Source organism: Homo sapiens, chromosome 2 (assembly GCF_000001405.40).
Source record: "Homo sapiens chromosome 2, GRCh38.p14 Primary Assembly".
NCBI lineage: Eukaryota > Metazoa > Chordata > Mammalia > Primates > Hominidae > Homo > Homo sapiens.
In genome coordinates, this window is record NC_000002.12 from 191228715 (window position 1) to 191246276 (window position 17562).

The following is a 17562-nucleotide window of genomic DNA, read 5'->3' on the forward strand; positions in this document are numbered from 1 at the left end:
ACCATCTCAGCTCACTGCAACCTCTGCCACCCCAAGATGATTAAAATCAGATGCCTAAAATCTGACTTTAGGCATTAGATTTTAAATGTCTGTGCTGTTGAACTGGAATTCACACTTAGGATTCAGATGTTTGGATATTATTGCACAGCCTGTGTTGAACCTATTTTGCAAGTGGATCCATTGTTGCATGTGTGAACCATTGTTACCTCTCCTATTAACCGGTGTGACCAGATCCTGAAGAACATGGGTATGGGATGGAGCCAATCTGGCAGCACTTGGGGATGGCTTGCTTATTCCTTGTTACTCCCCTGGGCAGGATCATGCAGAGTCGGATGATAGCAGAAAAGCCAGGCAGCTGTAGGAGAGCAATGCCAGGTGGCCCAGTTCCATGCCAGACAGGCGGAAGAAATGCTGTTGGAGCACACTAGGGTACAACTCCAGGCCACACAACGTAGGCGTGGCAGGCCGGAGAACACCAAGAGCAACAGACTTCTCAATTAGAAAGGAGGTGGCTCTTGTGAAAGAAATGTGTCTGTTTGTCTGTGAATTAATAATCAGGACAGAATGTCAGTTGTTACAATCAAAAGCTGTGGCTCAAATTAAAGAAAGGCCTTCACACAATGTAGAAAGAAGACTTTTGACACTTACTAAAGTGCATTGTTAACATGGCCCCTAGAATAAAATACCTCTGCTGGGCACAGTGGCTCATGCCTCTAATCCCAGCACTTTAGGAGGCCGAGGCAGGTGGATCACCTGAGGTCAGGATTTCGAGACCAGCCTGGCCAACATGGTGAAACCTCGTCTCTACTAAAAATACAAAAAAATTAGCTGGGCATGGTGAGAGGCGTCTGTAATCCCATCTACTCGGGAGGCTGAGGCAGGAGAACTGCTTGAACCTGGGAGGCGGAGGTTGCAGTGAGCCGAGATGGCACCATTGCACTCCGGGCTTGGGTGACAGAGTGAGACTCTGTCTCAAAACAAAACAAAATAAAAGAATAAAATGTCTATACACTCTGAAGAGATTTAAAATTAATTTTAACATTGCACCAAATATTGGAGGACATAAGATGTATTCACCTTTTTATAAAATTTTTTTGAGACAGGGTCTCACTTGTTTGCCCAGGCTGGAATGCAGTGGCACAATCTCAGCTCACTGCAACCTCTGCCTCCCTGGTTCAAGTTATCCTTCCACCTCAGCCCTGCAAGTAGCTAGGACCAAAGATGCTCACCACCATGCCTGGCTAATGTTTGTATATTTTGTAGAGATGGGGTTTCACCATGTTCCCCAGGCTGGTCTCGAGCTCCTGAGCTCAAGCGATCTGCCCACCTCAGCCTCCCAAAGTGCTGGGATTACACCGTGCCTGGCCATATTCACCTTTTAACTGCATATTCCTGTCATTTTTTAAAATTCCAGCGTTCTGTGATACAGTAGTTATCTAATGATTGTCTGGATGGTTCTGTCTCAGGGTCTCTCATGAGCCTGCATTTGAGCCCTGGACTGGGGGTGCAGTCATTTGAACGTTTGTCTGAATGCTTCTGAGATGGCTCACTTAACACGGCTGCTGGCAGGAGGCCTCAGTTCCGTACCACATGAACGTCTCCAAGGGTTGCCTTAGTATCTTCACAACATGGCGTCTGGTTTTTCCCAGAACAAGTGATCCAAAGAGCCAGAAGCCACCATGTGTTTTATTACTAATCATGAAGACACACACACACACCACCACTTCTGTCATATTTTAGAAGTGAGTCATTAGGCTAGCCCACACTTAAGTGATGGGTGGGAATTAGGTTCTATCTTTTGGAGGAAAAACTGTTGAAGAATTTGTGGACACATTTTAAAACCTCCACATATAGTATTCATCTAGGATGTCAGGAAATGTGGTGTAGTCAAGACTGGGTACAAGAATTATGAGACCCAGAGCAAAATAAAAACGCAGGACCCCTCTTTAAGAGTTTCCAGACAGTGGTAACAGAGCATTAATCCAAGTGTGGGTCTTTTGAGGCATTGGGCCCCGTGCTATGGCCCAGGTGCCACCCCAAGAAGCCAGCTCTAGCTATAGTGGTTAAGGGCATGAGCTTTGAAATTACGAGTTTGAGTCCCAGCATACAAATTTGAGTCCCACTGCATACAAATTATGTAACTCTTGGGAAATTAATCTAGCTGAAACTCAACTTCCATTTCTCTAAAAGGGGTATGATTAATTTATCTATCACTTCGGATTCTTGTGAGCATTAAATGAAGTCAGTATTGTGCCTGGCTTATTATTGTAGGCATTTAATAACTTGTCAATATTATAATGATTACCTTTAAGGAGCTTTAGTGGTAGAGAAGAAAAAAGGATTGAACTGATAACTCAGATTGGTGATTTAGCGGATTATCATAAACTCCTTAAAGTGGGAATAGCACCTTGTGCTCTCTGCAGTACCAACATCTCTTTGAATTAGCATGGATTCATGCATTCATGAATTTGAAAAATATGGCCTGCAAGCTACAACGAAAATGGCTAAGAAGATGTATTTCAGAAATGGCACATTTTCAGCATTCTAAAAGGTAGGACCAAAGCGACTATTTTAAGAAAATCCACATAAGAAGATCAATATTTCATTGGCTGTTGTAATATTAGGCATTTATCAGCACATTAGAAATGGTTGCCATGAACTACTTTCTATTAATAACTTGGTTGAGACTGAATATTAAACGGGAAACTTCTCATAGCAATATTCTCTTTGGGTGGCTCAAACAACAAAAACAAAAACTATTCCTGGATGAAGTCTTCATACTGGCAAAATTATTTCATGAAACACTTTATAGCTTCAGACAGGCCTCTGCTTCCTTTCTTATGCTGCTGAGCACAGCTCAGTAAAAGCCAGCAACAATCCTATGTCATTTGTACAAACTCCTCAGCCACAGCTCAGGTATGCCAGGGCGGGCGCTCTAGCAATCCCACTTTGAAGGTTCTATTTCAAACCAGATAACTGGCCTTTTAAAAGTTGATTGTTTTCATAAGGACTTTCTTCTATTAAGCTCTTAACCAAAGCATATTGCTGGGCCAAGACATCTTTAATCATCTGGCAAAATCCCATGCACCAGCCCATGAAGTAGAGTCCATGGAACCCAGGAAGTATAGTATGGGCTTTGAATTACTACTGACCTGCTGGGAGAGTTAATGCAGGTTCCAAAGGTGCTGCACCTGCCTCTTCTGAAAAGATGGTCTCATCAAAGATTTGAGTAAGGAAAGCAGGCAGAGGTGCTGGTTATTTATCTGGATGAGCAGCCAAACAGGAAACATTAAGAAATATAGCAAGAGTTGGGTTCTTTTCACAAACACATTAACATCAGAAAAATAAACAAGCCAACTTAAGTGTGATTAGAGGTTTTTTTCCCCCTTAACTCTAGGCGGCGTTGTGTTCTTAGCAATAGTCTTCTTTTTCTCAAAGAACTTTATTTATTCCCCAATCCAAAATTAGTTCCTTAATTTGAAACAGCCATAAACAAACATTACTAAAGAAATCCCTTGGGCTCTTTTCTCCCACACCCTATCCCCCCACACACATTTTTTCTGCTGCTTTGTTTGTTCTCAGTTCTTTTTCCCTTTGTGCTGAACAGAAGGGCCTGCAGTGATTTGGCTTTCTGAAATCCCTTCATAAGTTTCTTGAAAGATATTTAAATTCCATTTTGACAGGAGAGAATTAAATTCACATTAATTTCCATCAATAATGAATTCAATCTAAACAAACTTCAGTAACATCAAATTACGGATTTTAGTTCTCTACTGGTTCCTAAGGTTGCTTGCAGCTCTCTAATTCTTTTATCGGCCTATTCTAGCCTACTGCTGTTCCTGGAGTATGAATGGAGCCTCTAATCAGAGCAGCTGTCCCAGCAACCTTGGAGAGATTCCCTTGCACCTTTTCCTCCACTACTCCTCTTCTCATTTTCTTCTTTATTTTCAATCTTTGCCAACCCCCTTTTTCCTCCCTGTCTTTCTTTGTTTCACCTCCATTTCCCACTCCATATCAATGAAGAATCCCATAGTGATTTGGCTTTCCTCTTCAAACCCATCCCAACATCATCTTCATAAAAGGGAATGTGCTGGTGATGTCCCTGGTTGCTCTGGCCTTTCCCCTGCTCTGCTGTCTATCACAGGGGACTGCATTTTCCAGTTCCCTTGCCCTCTGGCTTCCACATAGGCTGAACCAAAGGGAAGCATAAACAGAAGACTGGAGAGTGGGAAGAGGGAGGAAGCCAGGGAATTTCACCTCCTCTCTGCCTGTTTTGATGGTGTCTCTGGCAGTGGCTGCTTCTCCTCTATGATTTTAGCTGCTGGCGAACAGCCCCTCCCTTCATTGTCTCAGCATCTGTCAGGAATGCCCCGCACTGTGCTTCTGACTTCTCCTATCTTCCAGGCTTTGGTAACACCATCTTCTCCCTGAGTTTCTCCAGCCCTGGGGGAGTTAGTGGCTTCTGACTGTTGTTATTCTTTCTGTTACCCCACTTCTTAATTCCTGGGTTCTGCTTCTTCCATCACAGGTATGACAAGTTCTTGGCCAGGCATGGTGGTTCATGCCTGTAATCCCAGCAATCTGGGAGGCTGAGGCGGGAGGATTGCTCGAGCCCAAGAGTTTGAGACCAGCCTACGCAACAAAGTGAGACCCTGTCTCTACAAAAAACTAAAAAATTATCCAGGTGTGGTGGCGTACATCTGTAGTCCCAGCTACTTGGGAGGCTGAGGTGGGAGGATTGCTTGGGCCAAGGAGGTTGAGGCTGCAGTGGGCTGTGATTGTGCCATTGCACTCCAGCCTGGGCAACAGAGCGAGACCCTGTTTCAAAACCAAACCAAACCAAACCAAACAAACCAAAAACACCAAAAAACAAGTTCCTGCATTAAACCCGTTTGAGACACCTACAGTGGTTTCTGTTTTCTTAATTGGGCCCTGACCAAAATAGGGGGTTCAAGATTACAAAAACATCTCAGATAACAGTTTTCTAGAGCGGAACGCTGGACAGCATTACTTTATTAATTTGCAAGTCACTTTCCCTTTCACTCCCATCTGAGTGGGCACGTCCTGTCTGCTTCGCACCAATGCTTCTGTACTCCAGTAATGTGTTTTTCATCATCACATGTCCAATAATTTTGAATCTCACCTGATAGCAGCATCCCCTGGCTTATAAATGTGGGAAATATTTGCTATGGAGGAGTGATTTGTAGCATTTTGTGAGTCAAAGGCCTTTTGGGAGAATCTAAGGGATGGTCAAAATGCTTTCCGCAGAGAAAAATGCACACGTACCATGATTGTGAGTGAGCCTGTGTACATCTATGTGTGTTTATGTGGTGCATACACACGCAACCACACACACTTTGGCATAAAGCTTGTCAATCCCAGATTCAGAACCCTACCCCTACCATGTATGGTCCTTGGCCATATAATATTCTTCTATCCTCATTCAGGATGCCCTGGGTGGTGCCTATTATGTAACTACAGTTTTATAAATAACTTAATTTCTTCTAGTTTACCTCCTTTTAAGTGATGAATTAAACTTCAAAACATGAAGTCTATCAGACACTATTTTTGTGTCAGACACTTTGGACTCACCCTAAGGAAGATAGTTCCATGTTTTACTTGTGTAAAAAGATGTCTCTATAGTGATATTGAAGGATTCTGTATGTGAAACTGTAATTTCCTCCTGCTGTTTTAAGATATTCCTCTTTCTTATTGGCACCACATGAGATAAAGTTCGGTGACTGGGGCAGAGATTTATGAAGTGTTATTGTTGAATATATGTGTATGTTGCTTTCCTGTGGTGAAAGACCCATAACCCAAGACTTCCATTTTGGGATTGATTTGGGGCCTAGTGTAACATGTATGCTGTAATAAGCCATGGCAGATGCTGTCTATTTACTTCCTGCTGTCCCATGTGGGTTTCAGAGTGGATAATTTTGCTCATTCTTTTGGCCTTTGCTGTGGCTTGTCAAAAACTGGACTCATGTTCATAACTCTGAGAAGTGCTCAGCTGTGAAATAAGTACTGAAAAGATGAAATACAATTGATCCTGAGTCATTGTGATCATTCAAGCCCATGTAAGCAAGAAATAAGTATTTAAAGTGTCCCAATAAATCTTCTCTTTGAGCTTAAACATTTAGAAATTTAGAATACTTATAGACTGATTTCTGCAGGAAAATTAAGAAAAACATATGTGTTGGCTCTGAAGTAGAGATAGAAGTTATTATGAAACATTAGTGATAAGTTGAGTGGGGTCAGCCTAGTGCATCTGTTTCTGCAGAAGTGGGAATTCTTTAGCATCAAGGTATGAGAGTGTATAGCAGAAGTACAGGAGATGTCAATTAATCACTGTCTAGAAATAAAAAATCAGCTTTATTTTAAACAGTGTAGCTATTTGTTATATTTTTGCTTTTTACAACTATTATGCAAAAATTATTGGGGTTTGCTATAAGAAGATGGGGCAATCTTTCAAAGTGAGTGATAACAGCTATGAAGGAGCCATGAAAGAAGATACTGGAAACACTTGGTATTCATTCATTTGTGCACACATGCATACATGCATGCATGCAACAAGCATTATTGAGTGCCCACTATATTCCAGGACTTAGGTTACACACAGCATTGGAAAATAAATAGACATGATTCTGCCCTCAAGTTTGTCTCAGTGTAGTGAAAGAGACTGATAATTGAATAGGTAGTTTGATCATGGTGTGATATACTCCATGATGTAGGCAACAGAATTTTATCAGAGCACTGAATAAGTGCTCTTTTCTTGTTTGGGGGATCAGAAGACCTTTTCAGAGGAGGTAATGTTTTCTGTCTCAACTAAAAATACAAAAAAAAAATTAGCTGGGTATGATGGTACACACCTGTAATCCCAGCTACTCAGGAGGCTGAGGCAGGAGAATCGCATGAACCCCGGAGGCGGAGGTTGCAGTGAGCCGAGATCATGCCACTGCACTCCAGCGTGGGTGACACAGAGAGACCCCATCTCAAAAATAAATAATAAATAAATAAATAAATAAGAAAGAAAAAGAAAAAGAAGGCAGTAGGATGCCAAGTGTCAGAGGAGTCAAATGCTACGAGGACCCAAAACTGCCTTTAAGATGTGGCAACTGGTGGGGCGCGGTGGCTCATACCTGTAATCCCAGCAGTTTGGGAGGCTGAAGTGGGAGGATCACTTGAGCCCAGGAGTTCAAGACCAGGCTGGGCATAGGGAGACTTCCTCCCTACAAAAAATAAAATTAGCCGCCAGATATGGTGGCGTGTGCCTGTAGTCCCAGCTACTTGGGAAGCTGAGGCGGGAGGATAGCTTGATTCTGGGGTTGTACCACTGCACTGTACACAAAAAGCCTTGGTGACAGAGTGAGACCTCATCTCAAGAAAAAAAGAGAAAAAGAAAAAAGAAACGATGTGGCAACTGACAGATGATCACTGCAGACCTTGGCAAAATCAGTTTTAATGTAGTCATAAGAGCAAAGGACTGGGGTGTGAAAGTGAAGTGAGAAAGTAGACAGAAACCATATACTAAACTTTAAAAAACTTGACTGCTGGGTAGAGAGCTGTTAAGATACAGGCTTCTTTTTCAATAAACATACAAATTTCACTTTGTCACCCCTAAATTCTGATCAGATAGAGCCCCCTTCTCCCAGAAGATCATAGCTCAAATTTCTGGATACTTCCACCTACCAAACTGATTTCTTAAAACTTTACTTATTTATATTATAAAAGCAATCTTTTTTTCCCAAAAATATATTTATCATATAGTATACTATAAAGCGTCATCCAATACTTAAGACTTTGATATGCCCATCACACACTGAGGTTACTAATGAAGATAGAGTTCACCTGGACATCTCAGTGATAGGGGTAGGAGGGGGTATAATCTTTAAGTTCCAGAATTTATTTCAAAGGCAAGAAGTTATGGATAAACTATTGAACAGAAACCAGGTAGAACTATGTTGTTTGCAATAGCAACTAGCTTAGGAAACAGCTGGTTTGGAGTTTGAAGATTTCATATGTATTGGTTTGGGCTGCTATAATCAAAATACCATAGGCGGGGTGACTTAAACAATGTTTATTTCTCATGGTTTTGGAGACTGAGAAGTCCAAGATTAAGTCATTGACAGATCTGGTGTCCAGTGAGGGCTTGCTTCCTGGTTGGTAGGCAGCCACCTTCTTGCTATATCCTCACGTGGCTGAGAGAGTGAACGTTGGTTTTTCTCTTCTTATAAGGAAACTACTCCCATAATGGGGGTTCTACCTAATCACCTCCCAAAAGTCCTACCTTCTAATACCATCCCACTGGGGGTTAGTGTTTCAACATATGAATTTTGAGAGGACATAAACATGCAGTCCATAACACCATATATAAATCCTCACATATATGTAGTGGGCCAGCCATTTTTGAAGGCTCTAGCAGATACATGCACCACCCCCTCCCCCATCTCTATCAGCTCTACCTAAAATCTTGACTTTATTCTCTTTTTTGCATTAAGGCAAGCTCATCAAACTGGCCCAAGGATCTTGGATGCATCGCCCTTGGCAGATTGTGTTTCTTCTTTGAAATTCTCCTTTGAAGTGGCCCTCATTGCCAACCACCAAGCCTGCAATGGGGAGACTTCCCCCAGTACTCCTACCGATGCCTCCCACCCTGCCTACTACCTTGGACACATGACTTCATGATATGGAAAGAAGAATCTCTTCTGGAAAAGAGTGCAATAAAGAAATCCAAGGACCTGCACTCAAAGCAAATGTTCTCCGTGGGTGATTAGTATAAACCCTCATTCAGCATAAGTTGGTTATTAGATTTGCCAGTCTCTAACATGACCTAACGGGAAAAATCACCAAGTACTGAAATGTTCTGATGGAAGGGTATTAGAAAAAACCACTCAAGCAATATTTATTTATTTATGTTTTCAGTTGGGCCAATTCAGAAAAACAAAAATTTGCAGGCCACATATTTTGTCCAAGATGAAAATAGCTTTATTATTTTTTCCTGATTATAAAAATAATACTCATTTATTATTACAAAACTTGAAAGTTATTTGTATGAAAAGAAGTAAATATAGCTTGAAATCTGAAAGTTCATAGTGGGCCACAGTTTAAAAGGCAATTCAAGTAGTTTCTTTTTTATTTGATTGGCTAGAAAAGTGTTGATGAGTGACTTTTAGTTACTAAATTTTGAATATTTGAAATTCAATATTTAAATGTTTGAAAAAGAGGACCATAAAGGCCGTTTTCTAATCTTTTACTCAGAATTGAAATCCTGGATTGTGCTGTAGCCCTTGAGCCCCAGGTTGCACATTACTGATTTAAAAACACTTGGAACGACACGAGAGGTCAAGAGGGCTGGTGAGGCCTGGGGGAGCCTGGAAGCAGCATCAGGGTCCTCGTTGCCTTGGGACTGGGGGGACGTTACAAAGGAACAGGGAGTATATCCAAGAAGACAAAGACCTGAAGCTAGACCCTACCTTCTAGGAAGTCACAGACCATGACCGTCATGTTTACCATCTTGTTGTAGTGACAGGGCTAGCACAGGACTAAATAGATACTCAGTAAATACTTCTTGATTTAGGACAAATTTTATCTACTTCACTCTTTGGCCCTGGGGTAGTGGTGCCTGATTACAAGTCACTAGAATGGAAGAAGTCCTCAGGAATACTCAGTAAATACTTCTTGATGTAGGACAAATTTCATCTACTTCACTCTTTGGCCCTGGGGTAGTGGTGCCTGATCACAAGTCACTAGAATGGAAGAAGTCCTCAGGGTTGAGACTGTTATATGTCTGATAATCTAGAACAATTACAACACCCATCAAAGTTACCCAGTGGGACTAAAAGTATTTAGGCACCAAGGAACTTATGTACCAAAAATAAAGAGATTCTTCTTCCCCTGCCCAGGGTAAACCTTCAGGGTGATAGCTGCTTTTGACTGATAAAGATTTATAAGGCAAACTATAAAATTATAAAACATGATTTTCAATTTAATGAAACTGTGGACTTGAAGAAACATGCAGGTCTTTGAAGGAACCCCTCAGGGAGTAGATAAGAGTTTTGAAGAGACTAGGAACGAATGACTTTTTGAAGCAATTTATAGACCCAATGGCCCTGAGGGGAAAACGTTTGGGGCCTATGTGCTGTGTCAAGATTATCTCAGGTCCAGACTCAAGATCTATGGGAACTTTGTAGCACTCCCAGTCACTGAGAGGGGGGCTGGGGACAGATGAGGTTGGGGCCTGGCAAGAGGGCCCATAAGAATGTAAGACAAGCTTCTGCTCTCTTCTCTTACTCATATTGGCATGAATGGGTTTCAGGAAAAATACCCAGAGTATAGCATGTGTCTAATGGGAAGGATTATGCAGGCATCTTTATTTAGCAAAGGCCATGCTTGTCTTGGGGAGTTGGGTTGCTTGTCAACACCCTGACCTCCATGGTATGAGTCTTCCTCTGCATGAGATGGGCTGTGCTTTGGTGCTACTCTCTATAAACTTTTTCCAGCTTTATTCAAAGTTTAAGAACATCATTCCTGCAACTCCATCAGCAAGAACTGCTTTTGTCCTACCTTGCGCTCTGGAAAGTCTTTAATGAGATATCTGAAATTCTTGGCAGAGATTATAGGCTAACTTGATTTACCTAACATAATAATAACTCATGAAATTAGTTCCTCAATCTAACACTATTGAGTACTTTCTATGTTCTTAGGCTCTGAGAACACAATAGTGAACCAAACTCCACCCTCATGGAGTTTCTCATGTCGTACAGATGTCAAGATTGAGAATGCAGCTGAAATAATGGGCAACTAACCTTTTGCTTATATTTCTAATTTAAATTTTGGTTTATTCTGTCAATGGTCCCTAAACCTAGAGTTATGCCATTTTGGTTGTTAATACAATAGGATATTTTTGAGTTACACACAATTATCTTTCTCTACAGCATTTTCATATGCTAACACCTGTGATGAATGTATGCACCAGATCAAATATATGGATTTAGTTTTAGGGACTGAAGCAGAAACAGACTATTACGTCATATGTTTGCTAAATTACTTTTCATTTGGTATAGGTGGCCAATATTTTTTTTCCTTTGCCATAATATTTGCTTTTCCTTGCAGTACTCCTAGGGTCTCCCCAGCAATGAGGTGACAGCTCCCCAGTTATCATTAGAAAAATGAAAATGATTTTTTAAAAAGATTGGGAAAAAGTCTAGCCATTTTTCAGATTGATTTATTGTTTCACAGCTAGGTTTTGCCATCATAGTACTAACCTGCTGTAGCATGAGAAGAAATAAGAGACAACTATTTTACTAGTTGAAATGACAGAATGCTAAATTATAAAATGTCAAGGGAAAAAATTTAGGCAATTTAAATTTCCTGGCAATGGGTCTATAATTTATTTGTGGCTCAGAGTACTCTGAGCTGTAGAGAAATGCATTTTGTGGAGAAAAATTATACTTTTTCACTGCCTGATTTTAGTGCTCAAATTACATTTTTTTAAAATAAAGAATTGTTTTTGATTTTCAAATAGTCTAGTACAGTACCTAAAAGGGACCCTATTTGTGAGCTTTTCAAATTACTCTTTTTATCCTCAAATAGCTTTAGTAAATTTTCTCCCTGCCTGGGATAAGTTCCATCGGTCTTTTTACCTTCAAATATTCTTGATGTAATTTATCTATAGTTTGTTAAATACTTAGAATAAGAGTTGTGTTTTTACCATTGAGTTTTGGACACCGACAATGCTATAGAAACATTTTTTTTTGTAATACCTAATCTGAATTTCAAATAATACTTTAAACATGAAGCACTTATTTTTAAAGCACTCTTTAAATATATTTTAAAATATTTTATTTTGTATGAAGCTATTTAAGAAATAGCTAACTCAGTGCTTACTGCATTTGGAGGACTATCCTAAACTAAGAGACATATGCTAAAGAAATAATACAGTACACTTGACCCTTGAACAACTTGGAGATTAGGGACGCTGACCCTCCATGTAGTCAAAAATTCACGTATAACTTTTGACTCCCCAAAATTTAACTAGTAATAGCCTACTGTTGACATATCAGCCTTATGGATAACATAAATGGTCTATTAACACATATTTTATATTGTATCATATATTGTATTCTTACAAAAAAAGTAAGTTAGAGAAAAAGGAAATGTTATTAAGAAAATCATAAGAGAAAATATATTTGCTACTCATTAAGTGGAAATGGATCATCAAAGTCTTCATCCTCATCCTCTTCATGCTGAGTAGGCTGAAGAGGAGGAGGAAAAGGAGGAGTGGGTCTTGCTGTCTCAGGGGTAGCAGAGGTGGAAGAGGTGGAGGAGGTGGAAAGGAGGCAGGAGAGGCAGCCACACTCAGCGTAAGTTGCCTGCCTCAGCTTCACCATCTCTAAAATGGGATTATAATATAACCTACCTCGTTGGGCTGCTGTGCAGCTTCAACGAGTTAACACATATGTAGAGCATTTAGAATATTTCCTAGGATAGTCAGCTCTCTAAAACTGATGTTATCTCAGTCCTGGTGTTTTCGAACTGATTGACTAGTTTTATCTCGAGGCCTACTATCTAGTTGGAGAAGTCAAACATCCAGAAGAGGATGAATAAAAAGATTTCATGACCTGGGGCAAATTAATAGGTACTGAGAGGATGTGGCATTCAGATGCTACCATACGAAAGAAAGCAGAATCTAATTCAAGATGATGGTCAGGAATAGGTGAAAACCGAATTTAGTTTGAAAGGATAAGTAATGCCTGGGAATAGTGACCCACACCTGTGATCCTAGTGCTTTGGGAGGCCAAGACAGGAGTATCACTTGAGGCCAGGGGCTCAAGGCCAGCCTGGGGAACAATAGTGGGACTCCTATCTCTACAAAAAATACAAAGAAATTAGTCGGGTATGGTAACATGCACCTGTAGTCCCGGCTGCTTGGGAAGCTGAGGCAGGAGGATTGTGGGAGGATTGTTTGAGTTCAAGAGTTCAAGGTTACAGTGAGCTGTGATTGTGCCACTGCACTCCAGCCTGGGTGACAGAGCGAGATCCTGTCTTTATTTTATTTTTTAAAAAAAGATAAGTAAAGCAGGTGAAAACTGTTTGGGTGGGTAGATGAGAGACAAAATATAGCAAAAACAAAGACTGAGAATTTTAAAGATAGAGTCTTTAACACATTCAACATGATGTAAAATACCTAAGGACAAACAGTATGAGCCGCTTCATAAACTTAGTTGAATGAAGACAGAGCCAGTGAGAAAATCTAAAAGTATGACTTCCAGTCCACTTTTATGTTTGCTACACCAAAAGGCAGTCATATGGTTCTTTCGTCAGTCTTCTTGTCAATGTTGAACTCCTTTTAATTTTCTTGAAAGGGCTCAAGTAAAACCAACTAAGAAAAAATAAGTCTTACATGCCTAGTGGTAATTACCTTCCTGGGATACATAGAGATATGCTTTTACTTCTGTATTTTCCACAAGGATGGCAAGATTTCAATTGAATGAATTTAAATTGTTGCATGTTTCCATTGAGGCAAAGCACACTTCTTGTATTCTTTTATTGCACTCTTGTAATTTGATAATTTATGTTTTTCACCCTAAATCTCAATAATAGTTTTCTACTTCTTTTTATTTCTTTCTGTTTCCTCCAAATAGATTGAGGAGAAAGTAAAAAATGCCTTTGTAGTTGATGGATTTATTATCTATTCTTTTTTTTTTTTTTTTTTGAGATGGACTCTCGCTCTGTCACCCAGGCTGGAGTACACTGGCGTGATCTTGGCTCACTGCAACCTCCACCTCCTGGGTTCAAGTGATTCTTCTGCCTCAGCCTCCTGAGTAGCTGGGACTACAGGAGCGTGCCACCACGCCTGGCTAATTTTTGTATTTTTAGTAGAGATGGGATTTCACCATATTGGCCAGGCTGGTCTCGAACTCCTGACGTCATGATCCGCCTGCCACAGCCTCCCAAAGTGCTGGGATTACAGGTGTGAGCCACTGCGCCCAGCCTATTATCTATTCTTGACAATTGTGGGAATAACTTTAATCTGCTTTTTATAATTTCAAAAGTTGTTGATTGATTGGTTTTTGAAAAAAATGGCCAGGAAGGTAAAAGTGTTTTAAAACCTGTATGTCCTCAGAAACTTGGGTTTTGAGATTTATGAAAACTAGGTAAACAGTATTTTTAAAAGAGAAGCATGATTTTTCTCTAGAAATATTTTTGGCTAATAACTTGGTTCATTTTCTTAGTGTTTATTAGGATAAGTTCTACAGTTTCTATTATTTTCTTTTTTGAACTTGCTAAAATCATGGAGAAAGTCTTAATTGTCCTCACTATGCGAGGTCCTTCTAGAGGCCGAACTGTTCTGACATAACTGTGTCCTATCCCTTTCTTGAGTCAGGAGTTTCAAAACTTTACTTCTAGTAGCTAGCTATTTTGATAGACCTACTCAGCACATAGTTGTCTCAAACCTACTTTTTCTAAAATCTGGCCACCTTCCAAGATCAAAAGTTTATAGAATTCCCCCACTCTTCAATTTGTATACATCTTATATTCATGAACCTGCCATCTGCATTTCTGCTATTTTTGAAAAGCTGAACTGGACAGTAGAGGTCAGAAGTTCCATGAACTGCCAAACTGCTATAAGCAGTCACTTGGGAACCTAAACTCAGACAAGCAAAATGGAGAAGTGAGTCTAACACACGTCACCAGGTAGCAGGTTCATATGTTGCCTATTGTGAAGGCTGGGATCTCCAGGGTTTTCATTATGCTAGGTTATCAAGGTCTGAGGTAGTGTGCTTGATAGTGAAGACTATAGAGTCAGACTATCTGGGTTCAAATTCCAGCTCTGTCACTGTTCTAGGTGTCTATTGCTATGTAACAACCACCCAGATGACAATCTTTTATTATTATCACTTACGTTTCCGGGGCCTGATTTGGCTCAGCTAGGTTTTCTCTCTAGGTCTCTCAGGCAGCGTGGTCAGTGACTGTGGCTGGAGTTCTTTCAAAAGCTCGCCAACTCACATGCTTGATATAAGTTGTACTGGCAGTAGACCAGGTCCTCAGCTGGCACCATCAGCCCAAACACCTACACATGGCCTTCCCTGTGGCTTGAGCTTCCTCACAATATGGCAGCTGGGTTCCAAGGGTGAGTGTCCCAAGGGAGAGCCAGGTGAAAACTTCATCTCCTTTTATGACCTAGGTTTGGAAGTCACATAGCATCACATCTGCTGTATTCTATTTGTTACAATCAAATCACTAAGTCCAGACCATATTCAAAAGGAGGGCAATTAATATCCACTCTCTAATGGGAGTCTTCAAACCACCATAGCCATGTATTCCCTGAAGACCTCTCTGTCCTTGGCTTTGCTGGTCTGTAAAACAAGGATAATGAGAGAAACTTACCTCAGAGCTTTTTGTGAGGATTAAACAAAGAACAGTCCCTGGTACCCAGTATGTGTTAGTTTCGCCCATTATCACACCACTTGTACATCTGAAGTGATGCTGATGGTGACATCAATGATGAGACAGTTCCCAGCAGATATAGTCTGTGAAGGTCCCACCTTTCCAAACTCTACTAGTGGCATTTAACAAATCCCAGCGCCTGTGGTTCTTATGCCAGTGGGAACAGTTACTATATATGGTCTGAATTCTTTGGTTCACCTCACTTTAGTGACAGTTTCCAGATACAGGTCAGTCCATTTAAACCTGGCCCATTTATGGCAATTTATTTCATTATAGGATAAAGTAGTTAGAACCATGAGTAATAATTACTGTGTCTACAGTGCTTTTAACACCTCAGCCAAGTAATCCTCATCTCACCCAGTGAGTAAGTTTGAATGCGCACCCTTCCCTGTGCGAGGATGAAGAAACCAGGACCTGGGTCAAGAGGATTGTTCTAAATTCTCCAATGAGGCAATAGGGCTTGAGTGAGAAGGTGTGTGTGTGTGTGTAGGGGGGGTGTCCTGATTCTCTGGCCCCTACATGCCTGTATAATATACCCCATCACTGATCATTACTCAGGACCTGTTAATACACTCTATTCAAATACGTATGGGTATTTGAAATTTCTTTTAAACTACCTCTCATGTATTTATAACACAAAGAATTGGCCAGTGTCTATTTCCCACAATGTGAGATTAAGTAATTTAAAAGATACTAAAAGTCTTGTAAATGAAGACACACCACACCACTCAGTATAATTTTTTTCTTTTTCTGTGAAACTAATATTTTCTGATATTCTCGGCATCCAAAAATTTTCATCTTGGGGAGGAGGAAAAATTGAGACTTACTCCCACTGTTTGCCGGAATGTGACCCCAGGCTGGCTTCGAGTTGTCAAATGTTGTATTTCTCATTTTATGTCAGTGAGTCTGGAAGCAAAAAAGGTAGAAAGACTGCCTTCCGTGGGGGCCGCGACGATCGCCCCTCCTTCCCTCAAGCCTCGTCCCATCCAGGCTCGCCCCGGGTGCGGAGGGTCGGGCCGCAAACCCGCAAGGCGCGGAGGCCGCCGCGACGCTCACCGGGGGGCGCTGTGAAGCCGGCACCGGGCGGACAGAGGTGAGTCGGCTCGGAGGCGGTGGCTCCCGTTCCTGCCCGCGCGCCGAGGGGCGAATCCCAGGCAGCGAGGTCGCCGCCCCCGCCCCTCGGCCGGCCCCTCCGCCAGCGGGCGAGAGGGGAGTGGCCGGGCTCCTCCCGCCGCCGCTGAGCACTCCGCAGCTGGGTGCGCACGGGAGCCTCAACCGCGGCGCGTGGAGGCAGTACCAGAGCGCGCGGCGCGCAGTCGGCCGGCAGCCGCGGGACAGCCTTGGCAGAACAGCCGCGGCGGGAGCCCCGCAGCCCCGGGCTGGGCCCGCGTCCCGGAGCGCCACCGGAGAGCGAGGACGACGTGGAGGCGGAGTGGCGCCCGGCGAGGTAGCGCCAGGCGAGGTAGCGCGAGCGCTTTCTCTCTCTCTCCCCTGCCCTTCCCTCTGCGTCCGTCGTCGGCCCCCGAGGCGCCTGCTCCGCGCCTTTGTGCCCGCGGTCCCTGGCCCCGTCGCACCCTGCGGGCGGGGGTCAGCGGGCTCTGCCGCTCTCTTGGGAGACGCGGCGCTGCGGCGGGAACGGCGCACGCTGTAGGTTGCGGAGGGTGGTCGTGACTCCGCAGTGGCTTCGGGGGTGGCGGGAGGGAAGAAGGGCTTGTAAACTAAGTTGCTCTTACTTTGCCCCATGCCTCTCGTACCTGTGGGCAGAGTCGAATCTCGGCTGTCCTCGTGTTCACCCACAGCCCCTCCATTCCTCTGGCCCACAGCTGTTTCCTGGCCCCCTGGAAAGACACGGTGTGGCTTCCTCCGGGCAGGAAAGCGGAGGGAGAACAATGGGGCGTCCTGGGGAGTGGGGTTCAGGTGCGGTGTGCCCCGGCGGCGGCGGGGGAGGAGGGGCCCGGGACGCTGTGGGCCTCCCTGCGCGTGCAGCTGCGCTCGCCTCCTTTGTTCCGCCGCAGCGGAGGGGGTTGCCCTGGGTCTCGTTTCCTGCCCGGGATGGGATTGATTCACGGTCCCAGAGAGGGAAGGGGAAGGGGGCGGGGCTGGAATGGAAAC

General features: G+C 42.7%; 1 protein-coding gene and 1 long non-coding RNA gene across 10 annotated transcripts in view, besides 2 other annotated features; one reads left to right on the plus strand and one right to left on the minus strand.

Moving 5' to 3' along the window:
- MYO1B-AS1 (MYO1B antisense RNA 1) lies at positions 451-17461 on the minus strand. The gene is made up of 4 exons (NR_186085.1): positions 17205-17461; positions 14906-15359; positions 3153-3263; positions 451-540 (listed from the first exon to the last, which is right to left on the minus strand). It is a non-coding gene; the product is annotated as an MYO1B antisense RNA 1 (long non-coding RNA).
- Positions 16576-17198: an enhancer, noted in NCBI's record as "H3K27ac hESC enhancer chr2:192110016-192110638 (GRCh37/hg19 assembly coordinates)". NCBI's record gives its function as "activates a minimal SCP1, AML or CMV promoter by ChIP-STARR-seq in primed H9 embryonic stem cells {active_cell/tissue: H9 hESC(primed)}" and the evidence as "EXISTENCE:reporter gene assay evidence [ECO:0000049][PMID:30033119]".
- Positions 16611-17000: a silencer, noted in NCBI's record as "silent region_12195". NCBI's record gives its function as "represses an Ori minimal core promoter by ATAC-STARR-seq in GM12878 lymphoblastoid cells {active_cell/tissue: GM12878}" and the evidence as "EXISTENCE:reporter gene assay evidence [ECO:0000049][PMID:35858748]".
- Positions 16690-17562, plus strand: part of MYO1B (myosin IB) — a 179983-nt gene continuing 179110 nt past the window's right edge. For 8 of the 9 annotated variants that reach the window (XM_047444410.1, XM_047444412.1, XM_024452914.2 and 5 more), the window contains exon 1: positions 16690-16912. The gene's annotated coding sequence lies outside the window, so the exon portion shown is untranslated. The remainder of the gene's footprint in view (positions 16913-17562) is intronic. The other variant, NM_001161819.3, reaches the window with a different exon arrangement.